At 46.0% G+C, this 22,229-nt stretch overlaps 1 long non-coding RNA gene across 2 annotated transcripts in view, besides 1 other annotated feature; it reads left to right on the top strand.

Moving 5' to 3' along the window:
* The window catches only part of LOC107984390 (uncharacterized), a 100,111-nt gene that overhangs the window by 38,750 nt on the left and 39,132 nt on the right, over positions 1–22,229 (top strand). The window lies entirely within an intron of this gene.
* Positions 18,094–19,092: an enhancer, noted in NCBI's record as "OCT4-NANOG hESC enhancer chr11:113499391-113500389 (GRCh37/hg19 assembly coordinates)". NCBI's record gives its function as "activates a minimal SCP1, AML or CMV promoter by ChIP-STARR-seq in naive and primed H9 embryonic stem cells {active_cell/tissue: H9 hESC(naive and primed)}" and the evidence as "EXISTENCE:reporter gene assay evidence [ECO:0000049][PMID:30033119]".

The raw sequence follows: 22,229 nt of genomic DNA, 5'->3' as shown, positions 1-22,229 counted from the left end.
GGTGAGACCCCCAGGTGAGAGACTTGTAGGATGCTTGGCTTTTCCAGCTACCAATTGGGTCATCCAGGCAATTCCCCTTCACTGATTCAAACTTCAGTTTTCTCAACTATGAAATGGTGCTCCCAGCCGCCAACATCTGAAGGGTCATAGCTACCTAAGTAAAGAACAGGTGTGAGATGGAATTAAACTAGAAAATTGCCGGTGGCAATAAAATGGTAATGTTTAAGAGCTTTTGGTCACCTAACACATTTATTAAATGTTTAGTATGCATCAGGACCTGTATCAGACCCTGGTTAGAAAATGGTGAAAGAGGTCCCTTCATTATCACTTGAGATTTTGCAACAGTTATCAGAAAGAATTAAGCAGAGTTAGGCAGATGCCTTTGAACAAGGGGGTGGAGACTGTGTGTGGGCGAGGCCTGTGTGTGGGTGGAGACTATGTGTAGACAGGACTGTGTGAGTGGGCAAAAAGAGGGACAGGGACCGTGAGAAGGTGCAGGGCAGGGTCTAGAGTCAAATGGTGCTTGTTCACACGTAGTTTCCTAAGTTCTTCAACTTCCTTTCTTTACCCCACTGAGGGCCCCAGCCACTTGCTGCAGCACATAGCTGACCTGTAATCTGGAGGGTGTGAGGAGGCAGAGCTTTTAAGAAAGGGAAGGTGGGGTCTCTGTGGCTGCCTCTAAGTTCGGTTTCATTGGAAGAGGCCCCTTGGAGAGCCTTGCCCCCTGGCCAGTATCTCTTCCCTGAGGACATTTTTCATGCCCCATCCTTCTGGTTTTGTTTTTTTTTTTTTTCCTTGAGACAGAGTCTCACTATGTCACTGAGGTTGGAGTGCAGTGGCACCGTGTCGGCTCACTGCAATCTCCGTCTCCTGGGTTCAAGCAATTCTCCTGCCTCAGCCTCCTGAGTAGCTGGGATTACAGGTGCCCACCACCATGCCTGGCTAGTTTTTATATTTTTAGTAGAGACAGGGTATCACCATGTTGGCCAAGCTGGTCTCAAACTCCTGACCTCACTCAGGTGATCCACCCATCTTGGCCTCCCAAAGTGCTGGGATTACAGGTGTGAGCCGTTGTGCCCGGCCTTTCTTTTTTTTTTTTAAATGTGGCGGCTGAACTGTGACTCACTTAAATATTCCTCAGATTGTTTTCATTTTTAAAAGCAGGTGTCAGTTCTAATTGTCTCCAGGATGAATTCCCCTGTCCAGCTGGCTTAATTGCAGACATCAACATGCTTGACAACATTGTTTCATTCGAAAAGCCAGCCTAGAGACGGTGATCGTAGGGGCTGAGGAAGAGCTGCTTTGACTGGCATCTGCTGGAGGGTGGCCATGCTCTAGTGGTTGGCTTCTAATAAGGGGCTGTACTTGGTCGTCTTTTACTAAGTGATGCTCTTCCAGTCCCTCTCGCCTGATTAGGAGGAAAGCAGTCATCTGCTTGCCTCTGATGAATTTGTGTTCAGAGACGATGACAGACGGATGTAGTGGAAGGATCATTGAAATGGAGTCAGGAAACCATGCTTTGTTGCAGCCCTGTCACTAACTAGCTGGTATCCCAAATCACAGAGCCTCTTTGGACCTTGTGTCCTCATCTGTTAGATGAGTGGGAAGGATGACGATGATTCCTCAAGTCCCTTCCTGTCTTATGGTCCAACCTTGTTTCATGCCCTGTCAGTTTATGGATTCAGTCCAGCTACTTCTCAACATCTCTCTTTCCTCATCACAAGCTGGAATTTCTTTGCATGTCAGTTTTCCTCCAGACAGAAATTCAGTATTTATTGCACAAAAGATAAGAGATGAACGTTGTAATACTACGAATACCTTTCAGCCTACATGTAACACTTTATGTTCTGTATCTGAGAAAAGTTCAAAGGAAACACTAGAAAGGCAATCTCTGGGGTGTGTCCAGTCCTAGATTTCATACATAGGCTAAATTTGGGTCTGTGTCAGTGCCCATGCTTAAATTGCCATCTGTACAGCCCAGTGTTCCTAAATAAGGCTATGATCTCCTACATTATTATTGAAATGGCTCACACTGGTTTATCCTTGGTCATTTGCCAAATAGCTAACAGCACCTATCATGTACAAAACTCTATGGCAGATAGTGTAGGCAACAATAAGGACAGAACAGTCTTCCCTGGGGACATAATTTTATAGAAAGTGGATTTTATGCACTGATTGTACAAGGGGATAATCTCATGTTTTGAGCATCTTAAGATCTTAGCACATTGCCTTCAAAATAACAGCAATGACACATTTTTAAATTAATGCAAAACTATGTGCTAGACCCCATACTAAGCAGTGTAGGTATTTTCTCATTTGGTCTGCACAACAACCCTATTCTATGATGTGGAAACTGAGGCCCAGAGACTTCAAGGTAACTTGTCAAAGTCATATAAACATTAATGACAGAATAGAGACTCGAACCAGGTCTACCTGTCTCCCAAACTCATGTTTATCTCATGAATGGTCTTCTTTGTGTAAAGTTGACAATCCATAAATATTGGTTGAGTAATTGAGTAAGTGAACAGTGAGTGCTTGAAAGAATAAATAAATAGAATTTTGGCTCGAGGGAGTTGTATGCTGCACCATTTACCCTGCTGAATGGGGCCCAGGCCCTATAGCTGGGTATGGTCCTTGGGTCCTTTTTGTTCTTGTCTGATCTTGCCTTGTAAAGAATCCCACCTCACTCCCAGCACACCCATGTCTACCTTTTAATTTGAGTGGAGGCTCTGCTTTGAGTCAACCAGGTAATTTCTTTTCATTTTGCCTCCCCCGACCACTCACTTCCATCCCAGGCCTCCTTCCACCTCAGCTATTACACAGTCCATTTCCTTGCCTGAGATCCTGAGATATTCTGGGAGATACTCAGAATAATTTGCTTATCTTCTTTCCAGATTCCCAGAATGGAGACCAGGCAGAGGAGCAGGGAGACATCTGATTTGTTGCTGCTTTCAGCTTCCTGTCAGCACCCTTGTCTACCACGCAGGGGTTCTGCCAAGCTGAGCTGAACCAGACACTGACGTGGGAGAGACCCAGGAAGTGGGAGGCACTGGCCAGTGGTAGTAGCCCTTCCAGTGGGCCCTCCAAATTCACAGCCACAGGAGTGGAGAAGTCCTGCTTGATGCCCTCTGGTGTCAGCTCCTGAAGGTTCTGAGGGGAGGGATGCCTCGAAGTAGGGACCTGGAAGTCTGTGAACTCGCTCCAGACAATGCAGGGAAAGGGAGGTGCCACAGGTTTGCTTTTTCTGCCCTTCCTGACTGGTGCTACCTTTGTATTTACATCAGGAACCCAGTTGGATTATGATGTCTTCGGCCTCCCTGCAAATCTCAACCCTGCCTCAAGAAAGGGTGAAAGCGTCATTCCTACTGAAGTGGAGATGCCAAGGCCATCTAGAGATGGGATGAAGGGAGGGAGGGGGAGAGGGAGCGGAGTGTGCAGGCCGGTCTGAGGCAAGATGCTGTGGGGGTGGGGAGGAGCTGGCCTGTAGATTGCACATTGACCCCGGCAAGGCTGACCCTCAATGCCCACTGAGGGAGAGAAGGGCAGGCGGGAATCAGGTTTTTTGAGAGCTTACTACTGTGTGCCAGGGGTGTTGCCAGGTAGTTGGGTTTATTCCCATCCTACAGATGAGGAAGCTGAATCTGGAGAGGCTGAGTGACCGTATGCTCACAGCAAGTGATGGAACCTGAATCTGAAGCCAGGTGTATGTGACCTCAAAGGCCCCATACAGCAGCTCCCACAGGAGTGGTGTTTCCACCTGGCCCTTTTCATTCCAATGCAGCATAGACCCCTCTCTTCCCTCTTGCTTCCTGGCTGCCTCGCTGCGGTAGGCTCAGACTGGGGCTGCTAGTGCTGGACAGCGAAGCCCGTGCTTGTGTACCTGTTTGTGTATGCATGCATGCATGCATGTGCACATGTGTGTGCATACCTGTGTTCACACACAGCACACACATACAGTGGGGAAATGCAGAGAGGAGGAAGAAGGCTTATCATTCTCAGATCTGTGGCAGAGACAGCAGAGATGCCCCCTGCCGCCTCACTACCAGCTCCTGCTTCTGCCCAACCTCTCTTCTCTCCCCCGAGCTCAGACTCCTTGAACAGCCTTCCCTAGGCTGCCTCAGGGCTTTGGGGGTGGGAGATGCTACTGCGTTACAGGCTTTAGTCTCTTTCCCTGCTGGGGGCAATTGCAGAAGACTCACATGTGGTGCAGTATCTAACTTTATTTTACTCAATTCCCCCTTCTTTATGTGCTGAAAAGCTTTAGGGGAAAAAAAGATTCTTCCAGAAAATCACACCCTGCGTCTTCCTTTCTGCTACTCCTAGGAAGTTATTTAAGATGGAAATTAGAGCCCATTATTGCACATTTAATTACCCACCAAGTGAATGGCATATTTAATAGAAATGGCAAAATCCTCCAACATGTGTAAGATTTCTAGTTCATGTGTCTCCAGACGTGTTGCAAAATAATTCATTAACTAGAGACGTGTGGTTGCTGGGGCTGTCTCGGGAAAAGCGGAGCCAGAAACTGGGGCCAAGGATGTGTGAGTTGATTAGCCCCCAGGATTGAGGTAATACAGACTTTGCTCCTAATGTGCTCTGAGGTGAAGAGTGCCCTTCTCACGAGGGGCACGGCATGGAGGCCTGTACTGGGGGCACAGGGTCTTGAGTAGGCTGGTCCTTGGCTGAGTGGGGAGAAGAGGGGGAGGCTGGTGCATCTCCAGCCATTCTTCCTACCCCAGGTTCCTGAATCACCCATGAGCACCAGGACAGATGTAGAAGCAGTGTGGGCTGCGGGGAGAACTTCAGAAATGGCAGGGACAAGGGGACAATTTCTGAGGCAGTTACTGGGGAGGGGATAGGGTCTATTACCTCCTCTCTCTGACCGGTGCTCTAGCTGTGTCCTTTCGGCTTTGACTCCAGGCTGTTGTTACATTTTAGGAATGTTTGTTCATTTACTCAGCCAGCCAACATTTATGGAACATCTGCTATTTGTGGAAAATCTGCTTGTTAATTCAACCGTGCAACCGATCAACCTTCTTATTTAATACCTATTATTCATTCTTTTTCTCATTCACTCATTTATTTTAAGCAATGAAGTAACCAGACAACATGTAGTGAATACCTACTGATTCACATATTTGTGCAAACCAGCAGCATTTACAAAGTACCTACACTTATCCCTTCATTCACCCACCCACCCACCCAGATATTTACTGAATTCTAAATGCCTATGCATTCAGGCTATCGACAAATATATACTGAGCACCAATCAATATCAAGAATTGTGTATACACTAGGGAAACAAAAGCTAAGACACAGGTCTTGCCTTTTAGGAGCTTAAAGCGATAACATTAATAGCTAACATTTATTCAGCATTTAGTATATATGGCAGCACTATGCTAAGGGCTTTACATATATGAACTCATTTCCTATGGTGAGTAAAATGAAGAAACAGGCATAGGCATTTCTCAATGTTGCACAGCTTTTGAGTGATAGAGTCTCAGGGTTTGAACTCAGGCAGATGGGCTGCAGAGTGTGTACTCCTAACCAGGACACTGACTCCCTGGGTGGGGAAGGTGTGGGGGGGACAGAGACACATTGCACAGTCCTCTGGCAGGAGAAAATGGGGAGATAAATTGCTATGCTTGGAGGAAATAGAGGAGTTGGTATTTGAGCTGGATCTTAGAGAAGGCACAGGAGTCTGTGAGCCAGGAAAGGAGGTGGAGGTGTCATAAGCCAACACAATGTTGGGAACTGGCTGGGCAACAGAAGGACATAAAGGCATGGTTTCTATCCTCAAGGAGCTTCCAATCTCATAGAGGAGGTAATACATGGATACAAATGACTTCACCACAGGAAAAGGTGGGGACTGATGGCAGGTGTAAGGTGGGCCTTGGTGAATCATACAAACGGTACAAATGCAATCTCTAGAGAGGGGCCGAGGGAGAAGAGGATCTTTCTCAGTTGGAGGTTATTAGAGATGCCCTCATAGACAGACCTTGAATCGAGGCTGAGAAGGTTCTCCTAAGAGAAAAGGGGCTGGGGAGAGCATACCGGCAGGTGGAATGGCAGAAGACCCAATGGGCCAGGAAACATGTGGTCCTGACCGACTACCATTGCAGCCTCAGTTGTGTTAGCAGTGAGTGGAAGAACAGTGTGGAAAGATGGTGCAGATTATAAAGGGGCTTGAACCTTCAGTTATGGAGATTAGACTTTATTTAGTAGGCAGTGGAGAGTCTCTGGGAGCTTTGGAGAAAGGGAGAGTGCTAATTATTCTGTTTGTCCCCTTGTGTTTGTGTGCCAGGAGAATGAGCCCCACAAGCTGCATGCTCTTTTGCTGGCCAGCTCCTGGTTAGGCTCAGTCAATGGGGGCATGAGCAGTAGCTTGGAGTGTGGGCAGAGACAGAGGTCAAGAGACCTCTTTCCTGCTGGTGATAGCTGAGTGTCACCAGAAATCTGTATTTTAGCAATCACTCCAGGTAATTCCAATATTTAGGCAGGTCTAGAATCATTGATCTATGCTGTTTACAAATCACCTTTTCATTCAATCTTGTAACCCATAACAATATTCTTATCTCTATTTTATAGTTGAGAAAACTAAGGCTCAAAAGAGTTGTGACATGTCCAAAGTCAAGAACTTTTAAGCAGAATAGCTAGGATTAAAATAAGCATTTCTACCTCTATATTCAGCTTCTTGGGGGAAACTCTGGGTCAAGAAGTCTAGTTAGAAGGCCTTTGTAAAAATTGAGGCATCATGCTATCCTCTCTGACTTGCTTCCTCTAATCTTTGCATTGCCAAATATTGCCCATTTACTCTGATGCCATATATACGTACACACACACACACACACACGTAATTTTTTTGAGATAGGGTCTCACTCTGTCACCCAGGCTGGAGTGCAGTGGCACGATCATGACTCACTGCAGCCTCTACCTCCCAGGCTTATGCAATTCTCTCATCTCAGCCTCCCAAGTAGCTGGGACTACAGGCATGCACCACCACACTTGGCTAATTTTTGTATATTTTTTAGGGATGAGGTCCCATTATGTTGCCCAAGCTGTCTTAAACTCCTGGGCTTAAGTGATTCTCCCGCATTGGCCTCCCAAAGTGCTGGGATTACAGGAAGAAGCCACCAAGCCAGGCCATGATGCCCATTTTAGGTAGCATATGCTCCACACAGCCCTCTGTGGGTTCCCCAGCTAATCATAATCTCGCAATCCTGAGGCTACCTGAGCTTTGTATGTGCATGTCTTCTCTTTCCAGTTGTCTCTAAGCCTTTTAAAATAGGCAGTATTGTATAGTAGTTAGTGCATGGCTTCTGGGATCTTTAATCTCCTGGGCTCAAAAATCTCACTGATGCCTTCACTCAAACCTTGCACATTGTCATCAGCTAGCATGGCTTCACTCCTGAAACTCTAGGACATCATCTCACCCATGGCTTTAGTACATTCCCTACCCAGCTGAGAGTTCTCTGTAACAGATACAATCACCAGTCACAGACAGCCCTCTCCCCCATCTCACCTTAATGCTCTCCACCTGACTCACCTGATCCTCTCCACCTGAACCACCTTAACCCTATTCACTGATCCACCCTAACTCTCTCCACCTGACCCACCTAACCCTCTCCACCTGACCCACTCTAACCCTCTCCACTGACCAACCTTAACCCTCTCCACTGATGCACCCTAACTCTCTCCACTTGACTCACCCTAACTCTCTCCACTTGACCCACCCTAACCCTCTCCTCGTCTCACCCTAACCCTCTCCACCTGAACTGTCCTAACTCTCCCCACCTGTCTTACCCTAACCCTCTCCCCATCCTACCCTAAGCCTCTCCACCTGACCCACCTTAACCCTTTCTCTCATCCCACAGACCTCTAACCCTTTACCATTATCATTCCTATACTTAAACGTCGTAGAAAATCACAGACCCGTGTATGATGGATCTACTGCAAATGTATGGCTTTCAATCTCAGCAAGGTACTTCTATGACCCCCCAACCCATAACTTCCTTTCCCTACATCTGTTATTAATACCCTCCTCCCTCCCTGAAGTCTCTCATCAAATGCAATCCCTGTACCCACGTCTTTAATTCCATCGCCTCTTCTCTCCTCCAGAGCCAGGACTTTGGTAGCACTTTGATTTTCTTTCTCCATTCATAGCCAAACATCTTGAAAGGATTGCTTGTGCTTTTATATTGCTGCTTATACATTGCTTGAAGTCTCTTTTCCCCGAGATTCCAGTGGGCCTTCCCTATTTATCCTGCCTTCCTGACTATTCATTTTTAGTCTCCTTTGCAGACGTGTTTACAATGCCCCCTCCTGAAATGCTGGTGCTCCCTAGGCCCTGTCCATGGCCTTTTCTCACTCCACATTTTCTATTTGGGTGATTGTATCCATTTCCATTGCATTGTTTACCATCTCCATTCATGGCTGTTAAACTTCTACCTCTTGCTCAGCTCTCTCTCCCAAGTCCTAGTTATATTTCCAACTTCCTACTATATAGCTCTACCTGAATGTCCTGCAGATGCCTCATGTCTGTAAGCCTACAAATGGAATCTTTGTCTCTCCCCACCCCAAACCCTCCTCCCAAATTCCCTCTGTTTGTGAATGGCACCACCATCTACCTGGTCATGTCCATCTACTCTATTCCTCTCATCCTCCACATACCCCTGGTGACCAAGCCATGTAAGTGCTGTATCCTTAATAGCACATGTGTTCCTTCTTTTCCCTCCCTCTTCTTGCAGTTGCTTTAGTTCAGGTCCTGGTCATCTCTTGCTCAGGCTATTTGCAGTATTCTCCCATATAGCCTTCCACCTCCAGTTTCTCTCCCATCTCATTCATTCTCTATGTAACAATAAAGGCGATCTATCTGAAAGTAAAATATCTTCCCCTCAACTTAAAACCCATCAATGATCCCCATCATCTACAGGCTAATTCACAAGCCCCTCAGCATGGCATATAAGGACCTCATGACCTGGCCTGTGTCCTACATTCCCATCTCATCTCCCCCGGTGCTCCTCATGTAAGCCTTGGCACAAGGCCGGAGGCAGAGACACCGGAGCTGGACGGCAGGTCTCAGGACCCCAGCTATGCCCAGGGATCTCAGCGCGTCTTCAGGCTCCCAGGCCCTCCCTCTCTTCCCTCTGCTCCTGCGCACCCGCTGATTTCTCCAAAGAAGCCCCTGGTAATGACTCAGCTGGGAGCTGTCCAGCCTTACCTTCTAGACCTAGCGGGAGAGACTTCTGAGGTAGATAATGTCTTTTAAAATGTAATTTACTTTAATGCACTGCTGTATTGTTACTAACATGTGCCCTATTATGTGTGCCTCTGAGGCAGCTGATTATAGAAATGTTCCTAAGGAAAATGTCTAAACCCAGGCAACTGTTACTTTTCTGAATAAGTGGGATGGGGTTTAAACCATCTGGCCAGGGCCTGGCATTTGTGGCCTCAGTGCCTGTAGTTTGGACCCCAGGCTTCTGAGAAAGTGTCAGGAAGCCAATCCCTAATCCTGCAGGAGTGGCATGGAAGACCTTCTGTGTCTAGGATGCCTCTGTTTTTATGCTTCCTGCACCTGACAGCCTTGCCATGGTGGAACAAAGCTGCCAACATCTGCTTGGGGATTTCTGTATGCATGTGGGCCGAATTTGTCATGTTATTAAAAAGACAGCTCAGAAGAAAACAAAAAAGAAGACTGGTAATAAGTATTCTTCAGGCTAAGTGACTAGGGAGTCTTGTAACAGATTGCTAGCATCTGGGGACAGTGGGTCAAGTCACAGCTCAACCCTCATCTGACTGCTATGCAGAGAAAATACTTAATATGCTTAGGTAGGAGCTCCACTTACTGTCTTCCAGTTTCTGACGTTCATCTACCCTTCCCTTCCCTTCCCTTCCCTTCCCTCCCACGCCAAAGCTGTCACTGAGGGGTTCCACTGGGTTCCCTGCAGGGAGCCACCATCCCTCCTCCTCTCTGTCACTCAAGCCTCACTTCAGTGTTCCTGCTCCAAAGGCAAGTGTGTGACCCACCTCTGCCCTGTCACATTGGGTTTTAGCCCCATGTGCCTTTGAGATTTCTGAGGGCCACAAACCAAATCTTAAGGCAGCTTCCTCACTTTTTAATAGGATCGTGTGGGAAAAATCAATCCACATATCTGATGTTAAGAAATTCTCTCGGTTGGGCACGGTGGCTCATGCCTGTAATCCCAGCACTTTGGGAGGCCGAGGTGGGCAGATCACTTAAGGCCAGGAGTTTGAGACCAGCCTGGCTAACATGGTGAAATCCTGTCTCTACTAAGAATACAAAAGTTAGGTGAGCATAGTGGTACATGCCTGTGATCCCAGTTACTCAGGAGGCTGAGGTGGGAGAATTGCTCGAGCCGAGGACACAGAGGTTACGGTGAGCTGAGATTGTGCCACTGCACTCTAGGCTGGGCAACAGATCGAGACTCCTTCTTAATAAAAAGAATGAAAGAAAGAAAGAAAGAAAAAGAAAGAAAGATAGAAACTTTCTCTTTGAGCCTGTTGGCTTGGAGAGGTCCTTCTGGGACATGGAAGTCAAAGGCCTTTGGTGCTGTTGTGTGATGTGAGGCCTTTGGAATGTGTGTGTCTATGTGAAGTGACTAGTGCATTTAAGAAGTATTGGATGAAAGAAAATAAATAGTTTTACCCAAAAGACACATGCACACATATGTTCATCATAACACTTTACTATTTGTTATATTCACAATAGCAAAAACATGGAATCAACCAAGGTGCTCATCAATGGTGGACTGGATAAGGAAAATGTGGTACATATATACCATGGAATATTATGCAGCCATAAAAAAGAATGAAATCACTTCCTTTGCAGCAACATGCATACAGCTAGAGGCCATTACCCTAAGCAAATTAACATAGGAACAGAAAACCAAATATCTCATGTTCTCATTTACAAGTGGGAGTTGAACATTGGGTATACATGGACATAAAGATGGCAGCAATAGAAACTGGGGACTACTAGAGTGGGGAGGAAGGGAGTGGGCAAGAGTTGAAAATCTATCAGGTACTACGTTCAGTACCTGAGTGACAGGATCATTTGCACCCTAAACTTCAGCATCATGCAATATACCCAGGTAACAAACCTGCACATGTGCCCCTTGAATCTAAAATTAAATTTGAAATTATAAAAAATAAAAATAGAAAAAGAAGTAGTAGATAGACAAGGGAAGCCCTTGCTTTCTTCAGGAGGGTCACACAGAGCAGAGAGAGCACTGGGCCTTGCCTGGGTCCTAGTCTCTGCCTTGCTGGCCCTGATTTTCTGGGACTAGGGAATCAGAAGAAGAATATCATAGCTTTGGTGGAGGCCAGGTTATCGTTTGCTTTAGGTCCACCTGTGATATCCAGTATCTTCCCATCCATCATCAGTCCTTCAGTCCATCTTTCTGTCCATCTTTCCATCCATCTGGACTTACACCTTTTCCAAATTAGTAAAGAATGCCATCCTCAGGAGAGTCTGAACTTTGATGAAGGTTGTAAGGCTCTTCAGCCCACCCCCTCCAGCCTTGTCTCTGCTGACTGTCTTCTTCATGGTCTCTACCCTGTTGAAAAGGCCATGTTATCACCTCCCCAGTGAGGCACATGGTGGCCCGCCACCTCACACTCCCCTCTACCTTGACCCCTCTACTGTGCCCATCTCCCACTGACTGTGTCCAGGTAAATGTCCCTTCTCATCTGTGCTTCTTTAGCATCTTCAGTTTACCCCAGGAGGATACCTGTCACCCTCTAGGTAAGGCCATGAGTGTCATCTCAGATTAGACAGGTCTGCTCATGGTCCATGTCCCTGGGTTTTAGCAGTTAAAGAAAAAAAATACACAAAATGCTTGTCCAAAATGGCAAGAAATACTTTATTCAAGACTATTGCAACAGGGAAGAGAGAGTAAACTCAACTCCAAACGCAAAAGGGACAAGTGGGGATTTATAGCCAATGACAGGGTAAGGAAGTAGATGGAAAATCACTAAGAGGAACTTGCCTAGGTGTGCAGGGTGTGGGGAAGAGGAACTTGATATCAAGGTGGGGGGATTCTCAATAAATTCTTTGCTAAAACTGGACTCAGTTGGCCAAGGATGGGGGCTCATCAGAGTAAGGAGTAATGAGTATGTTTGGTCGAGGAGGGAGTTCTTGTCATGGATGGGGCAGGAAGCTGGTGCTGTGCCTGAGGCCAGCCCTTGGCCTCCATCATGGGGCCATCCAGGCGGCTGGAACCTCCTGCACAATCCTAATCAGTGGGTCTCCCTAAAAATAGCAGCCTCTGCCCATGCAGAAGCCTCACACACAGATCCATGTTTGTTGTGGGTACCTCAGCTGCTCTGGGGTGAGAGGGGATATATTTATTTTTCCTTTGTGCATCAGTTGAGCCTGGCTTCGTGGCCAACCTACCTCGTCAGAGCTCTGCATTCAGGCAGGGTCGGGGGAGTCAGACAGCCCATATCCAGCCATTCTGCAAGTCTAGGCTTCCTTCCTAATGGGGAATGATGTAAAAGTGGGAAATCCCAAGGAGGTATTTTGGGAAGGGTTGTGGAGAGAGAGGCAGACAATACTGCTCCAGATGGCCTGTATGTTCACTGGGAAAAGTGCTGTCTCATTAAACGTTTCTTAGGCCTTGGAGCTTATCTCTTCTGTCCAGGTGGGATTTCAAAGCCTGCTGGAGAAGGGAATCCTGGGACAGAGGCAGGAACATGTCATAGGTTTTTATGGCAGAGTCATCCTTGGAATTTTAATTACCTTATCATCATCACACTATTATATATTTACCTATCCTAATGATGAGATTACACATTCAATTAGGATGTAATTACTAGTTCTATTACTTAAAGAAAAATACTTAGGGATAATTACACAATTATGAAATACAATTAGAAAATGACATATTAAATTTAGAAAAGCTTTTGAAACACTCCTCCAACCCTCCCACCCCACCCTCCTGTACAAAAGATTTCTTGTATTTATTCTCTCTCCTCTTTCTCTTCTGCAAGTACAAGTGCAGCCCAGTCTGGTCCAGTGTGATCAAGGGGTGGGTATTTCCCTGGAGAGCACAGGACATTGTATCTTAGAGATTCAACCCCTTACGGCCTCTTGGGGATTTAGGGGTAGCTCAACTTTGGAGACTCTGCCTGAGGTTCTGGAACCACAGGGCATTTTCGCAGGCCACAGGTGGTGGTTGTTCAACCTTCCCTGCTACCCCATCTGCTGGGAGTGCAGAAAGGGAAGGAGCAGGGTGGGGCCTGGCAATTCCAGGGCTGAATGTTACAGGTGGGGCTCTCAAGAGGCCCCAGAGGCAAACAAATTATCAGAGTCTGTCTCACACATGGGTACAGTGTTTCACCATTTTGATAACACTTTCACATTTCCCAGCTCCTTTAATCCACAGCACCATCTAATGAGATGGGGAGATGGTTAAGTGTTCTTGTTCCCCTACTTGGAACTCCCTCTTCCTTTAATCTCTGTCTCCACTCTGGTTTTTGTCTTTAGTTGTCTGATTACCCATCTCAATCTTCTTTGTGGCTTCTTTTTATCCTTGGCTTACAGATTGTTTTATTGCTCTCCAGAGTTCCATCCTCTTCTGTTTGTTTGTTTGTTTGTTTGTTTCTCTCTCTCTCTCTTGGGCAGTTCAAATGGGATGGAGGGGCTCTCCCAGGCTTCACCACTGCTGTGTGTGGTGTATGATTATGGGTGGAAGTAAGGCACTCTGCTGCCAGGCTTGAGCCATAAGACTCCCCTCTCAATGCTTCCCTCTCTCTTTGCCCATGTGTGGGCTGTATGTTGCTGTCCAGGACAACCTTTGAAATGGCTTTGAAGCAGACAGGGACCCTGCCATCTCTGGAGCACAGTGCTCATTGTCACTCACCTTGCCACTGTTTAGAGTTTATCTGAGTAAGAAAAACTTCATTGTATTAAATCACAAAATATTTCTATGTTTACCTGATACAGCAGCCCCTCATAAATGAAAACAGCCTTACTGGTAGGAAACAGATTCTGGACCATAAGATTTGAATTGATAGTGTTTTTGTGCTTTCCTCTGGCAAGTCCAAATAGGAAGCCAACTTATATCCAGAAGTTGGTAAAGTTGGTTAGTCTAGTGGATGTCATGGTGGCTTCCCTGACATCCACTTCCTCTTCATCCGGTGATTATTGCAGTTTTGCCCAAGCCTTGCCCACACAGCCACTGTAGTTGAGGGGCTGCTGCCACCCTCAGCTCCAAGGTTGGGCCTAAAGGGCCTAAGAGTAACCTCACTCCCTTGGCTTTTGGAATCCAGGCCAATGTGAATCAGTCCTGGCCTCAGAACTAATTCAGGAAAAGTTATGACCCAATTTGGTCTAATGAGACAAAAGGCCAAATTTATTGGGGTCTGCTTGGAAAGAGATTTCTTCACTCTTAAGACAGCCATAGAAACTATGTTGCAGATGAATCCAGAATTCTGAAAACAGAAAGCAAAGATCCAGATCCTGTCCAAGCAGAAAGCATGGGGAGCATGCCCTGACCCTCAGACTCGAGTGCCCTGGTCCCCAGAGAGGTGCATTCCTACTGGGACTTACTCACTTCCTCCTCTTGCTGTGCTTCCAAGCTCACTGAGTGTACCAGCTTAGCATGCTTTTGGCTGCAATGATCAGAAAATCTGACCCAACTCAACTGAAGACAATAACAGGAATTTATTGTATCGTATAACCAAAAAAGGCCAGGGTTGGAACATGGTTCAGACTTGGCCCTGGCTTGGTTTATTTGAGATACTCTCAGCCTTTTGTCCCTTCTTTAGGCTGCTGTTAGGATAGCTGCAACAATGCCAGGCCTCCTGGCCAAAGACTAGGTCCACAGACAGTAGGTTACAGCAAGCCATGCTGATGGATATTTTAGGCCTTCTCAAATTCCCTGGGCACAGACATCTCCTTTTACTCCCACAATGAGCTCCTCACATCCATTTTGTCTGTATAACACTATTTAGTTCTTAGTGGGGGTGACTGTATTTTTCTATTTTGAAGTTCTTGGGCAGAATGGGCATCTTGCTGTTGCTCCCATGCACGGCCAACACAGGTTAGATTCTCTCTCTGACTGATCTCATCCTCTCCCGTGGCTTAAGCTATATCACTTGTCCATGACCCTAGATCTACAACACCAGGGTGGACCCCTTGCCAGGCTCTTTCCAGTCTGCTCTGGCTCAACAGCTATTGGGCAGCTCCCTGTGCACACTGAGCAAGAACTTCAAACACAGTGTCCAGACGGGAGACTCCTCATCTGCTCTTATGCCAGCATTTTCTAACTTGGTTAGTGGGGCTTCTGTTTATCCAGTCACCCAGGCTTAAGTCCTCGACACCATGTTTGCCTCTTTCCTTGCTTTTCCCGACATGTTTAGTAGCTTACAAAGTTCTCTGATGACATTTCCTGAATACGTTTCTAATCTGTCTCCTCTTCAAGGTCTCAGTGGTCATAATCTAAGCTCAACCTCTTCTTATATTTTACCTGGACTATGGAAATAGTTTCCTAACTTGTCTGTCTGCCTCCAGTCTTGCTTTTCTCAATTCCATTTTTCTGAAAACACATAGATTGGCCTTTCTATAATACAAATATTCATTCTTTGGCTTACAATCCTTTCACTGGCTCTGCATTTCTGCTAGAGAATAAGATCCAAATTCCTTAGTCTGACATTCAAAGTTGTTCACATCTGGCCCTGGCTCCAACCTCTTCTTCCACCATGATGTCCCTGATACTCTACTTCCTAGCCATACTGAGTCAGTCACTCTTCTCTGAGTACATGCTACTGCATCATGACTACAGACTTTTCTGCACGCTTAACTTCCTGCCTAAGAGATTCTTTCTCCACTCTCTTTAACTCATGTCCTCCTCCAAAGTCTTTAAGCCCTTATAAATGGGTCAGTGCATATCTTTTACCTCCTCAGTGCACCCTCCCTCACCCTTCCTCTTGCAGTGAGCAACTTCTTATTCCACTCCCCACCACCACACACTGATACATACCTTCCATAGCACTCACCTCACTCCATTGCCATTATTTGCTTATATGTCTGTTTCCTACACTGGACAGTAAATACCTGTCAGTCATTCTATCAGCTTGTATTTATTAAACACCTAGCATGTGCCAGACACTGTGCGGGTGCTGGGGACAAAGAGATAAACCATACTAGTTAACACTCATATGCTACTTACTACATGCTAGGCACTACCCAAAGTTCTTTGCATACATTAACTTAAAGGGCAATAATTTGTGGGGAGTCTTGAGAGAGAATGTTACCTGTGTTAGCCACATATGGGGGCAAGAATAAGGTGCCCATTCTTTTCCCAAGAACTTGGAAATAAGGGAAATATAGTCACACTTTTAAGAATTAAATATAATATACAGACACAATTATTTTTGCAATCTAGTTGGTTGGGGAGGCAGGGCTTGAATTCGGGTATTTAGATTCTAAATCTTATGTCCTTTCTGCTATGTCACACCTGTTTCATTCAACCTCCTTCCAGCTTCCTCAGCTGTCACAAGGTAGTAGTAATGATACTTTGCTTTTTTACCTCATTTGGTTTGTGAAGAAGATCCAATATGATGGTGATAAAGCCTTGCAAACTATAAAAGCTCCGTGCAAATGAGAATTATCTATACACGAATCTATACATCCATACACACATCTATACACACATCTAGGGAGCCCTATTTAACATCTATTTTTGCCTGAAATAAGACATCTCTTAACATCACCAACCTCTAGTGTTCTGAATTGCACAAGAAAATGCTGTTGCCCCCATGGGGTTGAGAGTCTTTGGTCGTTTTCTGATTCCTCTTGTCACCCGAGGCTTAGATCATTTATAATTAAGTAGGTCATTTGGACCTGCCTTCCCTGGAAGAGTTTTGGTCTCCTCTTTATTCTGTCTCACCATTGTGTGCACCTCCAAGCCTTTCCATCTCTTCTTCAGGCAAAACGATGCCAAATACCCCACTTCTGATTCTTTCCATGGGAGCAGAAAGAGGAGCTGAGACCTGCTGGACGTTGACCAGAAGGCCCATCCTAGGGCTTTACCTAGAGCTGGTTCCTCCTGACTTCCACTCACACTCTCAGCCCTGGGGTAGAAAACTCTTTAGGCTCAAAGGCAGAACCCTGCCTTCCCCAGGTGGCAGAACGAGGCAGGAGGCAGGTCTGCTGGGTTCCTTGTCCCTGTAGGAAAGGCATCAACTTCAGTGACAGCCTAGTGGTCTGGGGGCCACTGCACCCCATAAAGCCTCCTAGAGCAACCCCAAACTGAGGGCAGAGAGATGGACTCATCTCTTGGATTGGCAGAGGGTGGGGTGGAAGGGGTGTAGCTGTATACAGAGGGTCTCTTCTCATCTTTTACAAACGCAGACTCAGTCTCATCTGATGCAGTTCAGTTGGCTGGAAAATGATGGAAAGTTTAACAAGCTCAGCCTGGCGGCAGCAAGGAGGCAACCCAGGCTGTGTGCAGCATCGCCCCTTCCCTCCAAGGCAGGCTGGGGGCCAGATCTTTCCCTGGCTTTGGAGGAGCGGAGGGCATACTTTTGGCTGTGGCTTCTAGACAGCTTCTGACCCTGTGGTCTTTAGGCTGGCTTCCCATAGTGATCCTCAGAATTATTAAGGGAGTCCTCCCATCTTCCATTTTCTACCTTCAGGTTTTCATTTTCTTAAAGTTTCATTTTTTAACAATTGCCACGACAGCAGCTCCGAGTGTCAAAGACAACAAAGAGTCCGAGGGCACGGTGCTCCTTGGAAGAGAAATCATCCAAATTGCAGATCCAATCCCGTCGTTTGCTCCTCTCCTCCTCCTGCGCTGCGGACTCTCCAGATACCTTTAGATGTCCAAACTTCTTATGGCGCCTGCGATCCAACACCCAGCTATGGCCTCCTTTTCCAGTCTCTTTGCTCACTAGCCCTTCCTCCTGTCCTCTGTTCCGGCTAAACTGAACTTCTTTTAATGGCACAGAATATGGCAGAGTTTGTCCCTCCCAGTGTGTAGGGCAAGCTGCCTGGACACCTATTGCTTCACCCGATCCCCTGGCCAGATCCTCTTCCTTCTGTTCAGATATGACTTTCTCCAGGAACCGCCTCCTGCCTTGGGCATCGGGTCTTCCCTGCTGTCTCTGCATGCTCAACACCTCAACTTGTGTGTGGCTGAGAAAATTTACCAGGTGTTGTAAGATCACAAATTTGCTTGTTTATTTCCCCATCAAAACAGTTCTAATAGGACAGGGGCTGCTGAAACACTTGACACCTATTATTAAATGCTGAATGAATGGAAACCTATTCACTTTGGAGCTATCTGGGCTTTTAGAGGAGCTGCAAGGTGGTGATTAATAACATCTGTACTTTCTATTGGGGTGGTGCTTAGATTTCACCCCCGTTTTCTCTGACATCCAACTCCTATAATTGCTTTGCACACACAAAGCCACCGTGCTGTTGGAGGGAACTCCAGCCTCTTCAGGGGTTCTTGGAAGCACTGAAATTGAGCATTTTTGTTTTGTCTCTCAGTATTTGTGCAAGCAAGGCACCCTGGGGAGGGCATTGCTTCTAGGCTTCAGAATAATGGCTTGCAGAGACTCCCTAGGGCAGGCTTGAAAGAGAACACTTGATTCTTTTCCTACCTGTTGTTTTTCTGCTTCCTAGCCGTTGATGAAACCTTTCCAGTTCTGCTGTGAGATCTGTGGGGAGAGTAGTCCTGTGGCTACCCAAAGGTTATCCCATTGGCTGAGCTTCTGAGCAGGGCGGGTGTGGGCTGAGAGAACACAGGACTGGCTCTGTAGCTCACAGCCCTTCTGCTGGGGTAGGGGTGGTAGCAGGTGTGGGAATGAAACAGCTGCTCCCCTTAGCAAGTTTGGGAAATTTTATTTTATTAACACTGTTGACATTATGGTGCAGACCAAGATGAGAGGCCATTGTGGAAATTTCAAAGCCAGTCCCTGAAGGAGGTAGGGAAGGTAGACATAGGGTGGCAGCTACTTGAAGCAATTGATCCCCTGAAACTCATGGTGCTGGCATCCCCAGCTCATGTTCCTTAGGATGTCAAAGTGGTTAACTTTTAGCCCTAGGCCCTTACAGGCAGCAAGATTACCATTTGCTTGGTTTTGAACTGAAAAGTCTGGTGTTGAGCTTGAAGTCTGGTGGAAAAAATACTGAACATATAAAGATTTGTTTGCTTTTTTTTTTTTTTTTTTTTTTTTTAGACTGCAGTGTGGTGGTGAGATCTTGGCTCACTGCAACCTCTGCCTCCCGGGTTCAAGTGATTCTCCCGCCTCAGCCTCCCGAGTAGCTGGGATTACAGGCACGCACCACCACACCTGGCTAGTTTTTGTATTTTAGTAGAGACAAGGTTTCACCATGTTGGCCAGGCTGGTCTCGAACTCCTGACCTCAGGTGCTCCACCTGCCTCAGCCTCCTAAAGTGTTGGGATTACAGGCGTGAGCCACTGCACCTATCCTGTTTGCTTTTTTTTTTTTTTTCAAATCAAGAAAAGATTTTATTATGGCAAGATGTGACTTCTGTATATACAATCAGTGTCTTCAAATGCCAAATATAAACTGTAGTGGTAATGGTTGCCAATTTGCTGTCCATCTCTGTTTTTTCGGTTTGGCGTGCACATATTTTATCAAGAGTGACTGGTATTTTTTTTGTTGTTGGGAACCATCTGTTGCCTCTAACAGGAAAGGCATAAAAACCCTACAGCAATTTCTTCCTGCTAATAATCACTTTCTGGTGATAGTGGGATGTGTGAATTCCAAATGTTGATATTTGGAGCCAAGTATTTGTTGTGCTTTGCTAGGAATATCCTCTATGTATCTTTATTAAATAATAATAAAGTTAATTATTGGTAAGGAAACAAGAGATGAGTAAAGGAATAGAGAATTCTGCTCTGTCTCCTTCAGGGAAGAGAAAAGAGCTCTGGGCCTGGAAATTAGAACTGGGGAGTTCTGGCTGGAGGCAGAGATCTGCAAGAGGTAGTGAAGACTTGGTTTAAGGGATGAGTAAGATCAGCTTTGGAGAGAGCCCTTTGGAGGCAGGAGGAGAGGGCAAACCAGGCCTAGATTGGGAGAAGAAGGCGCAATGATTTTCTAAGCAGGGAAATAAGGACTAGATGGAGATCTTAGAGACGTGGTTCCCTGGCTCAACATCCTTAATGCTATGGCTAGGATATTAGAGACCTTCAAGACTGGCCTGCCTTCCTTCTTTTCTTCCTTCCTTTCCTCCCTCCCTTCCTTCCTCCCTCCCTCCTTCCTCCTTTTCCTTCCTTCCTTCCTCCTTTTCCTTCCTTCCTTCCTTCCTTCCTCCTTTTCCTTCCCTCCCTCCCTGCCTCCCTTCCTTCCTTCCTTCCTCCTTTTCCTTCCCTCCCTCCCTGCCTCCCTCCCTTCCTTCCTCCTTTTCCTTCCATCCTTCCTTCCTTCCTTCCTTCCTTCCTTCCTTCCTTCCTTCTTTCCTTCCTTCCTCCCTCCCTCCCTTCCTTCCTTCCTCCCTCCCTCCCTCCCTCCTCCCCACCTCTCTCTTTCTTTTTTTCTTTTGTTCCTTCTTTCCAGAGGAGGAAACAAGCCTAGAAACTTGAAGAGCAGACTGAAGTCACACACCTGATTAGTGAAAGTCAGCAGAAAGCTGACTGTGTTTCTGATGATGTTGTGAGTAGGGGTGTGTGAGAGGATGGTTTCAGGAAGCCTCAAAGAGTGACATTTGGGCTTGGTGGAGAATGTCCAGGCAGGCAGAAGAAAATCAGGGCTTTTAGGATGAGGAATGGTGTTGCTTCCTTCTAACATCTTGGCCTCCCTTCAGTTCTGGGGTTTTCTAGAAATGATGAAAATCTTTCTTGCTGTTGGTAACTTGAGAAGTTTTCTTAACAAGGAAAAGTTAAGCAACTCTGAAGAGGGAAAAAAAAGGCCTCTCAAGATGGGCTCAAAGGAATACATTTAGACCTAGGTTTATACAGATTACAGGAGCTACATCCCCTATCATGTATGCCCGGAGGCCTAGTGGGTTGAATGGTGATCCCCAACTCGAAAACACATATTCAGGTCCAAATTCCTGGAAACTGTGAATGTGACTTAGTTCAGACAAGGGGTCTTTGCAGACATAGTTAACTTAAGGATCTCAAGATGAGATCATTCTGAATATAGGGTGGTTCCTGAATCCAATGACAGATGTTCCTAGAAGAGAAAGACAGAGGAAGATTAGAGACACAAGCACACAGAAGAAGGCAAAGATGGGAACAGGGATTGAAGTGATGCTACCAGAAGTCAAGCAGTGCCTTGAGCTACCAGAAGCTGGAAGAGGCAAGGGAGGGTCCTCCTCCTTGATTTTGGCCTTCTAGCCTCCAGAACTAGAGGAATACATGTATATTTATATAATTTTTTTAGAGACAGGGTCTCACTTTGTCACCCAGGCTGGAGTGCAGTGGCATGATCATAGCTCACTGTAACCTCAAACTCCTGGGCTCAAGCAATCTTCCCACCTCAGTCTCTTGAGTAGCTAAGTAGCTACAGGCATGCACTACTATGACTGGCTAATTTTTAAAAAACTCTGTGTAGAGATGGGGGTCTCACTATGTTGCCCAGGCTGGTCTCAAGCTCTTGGCCTCCCAAAGCACTGGGGTTACAGGCATGAGTCTTTGTGCCTGGCCTAAATTTCTGTTGTCTTCAGCTATCAAGACATCCTGTATTTATTTCCTAGGACTGCCATCTGCAGCCCTAGAAATGGCAGCTGTAAGAAATAAATATAAGAGGGGACCATCTATTTTTCTGTTTTTCCACTTTGAATTCTTCTTCTTTCTCTTATTCCTAAGTTTCAGGACCACCATGTCTAAATCAAACCCTCTCTGACCACCCAGATTCTCTGGAGTAAAGATCCAGCATCTCAGGAGGCAGCAATAAATAGTGGTAAGGAGTGCAGGTTCTGAAGTTACATTGTGCAATATTGGGCAAGTTATTTATTCTGTGCCTTGATTTTTTTCAAATATAAAATGGGAACATTAATTTTGCTTAACTTCCCAGAGGGTTGGTGAGGACTGAAAATATATGTGTCTATAGACACACACACACACACAGACAGACACACACACACACACAATTAATGCTCAATAAAAAATAATTTTAAAAGTTTACATACTCAACACATGTTCCATATCATTAGTTCTCCTTTGACAATATCAGATTACTGCTAGGGTCACCACATAATTTATTACACAAACTGAAGCAGTTTTGGGAGT

Source organism: Homo sapiens, chromosome 11, assembly GCF_000001405.40.
Source record: "Homo sapiens chromosome 11, GRCh38.p14 Primary Assembly".
NCBI lineage: Eukaryota > Metazoa > Chordata > Mammalia > Primates > Hominidae > Homo > Homo sapiens.
The sequence above is the reverse complement of the archived record's forward strand: the minus strand, read 5'-3'. Positions and strand labels throughout refer to the sequence as shown.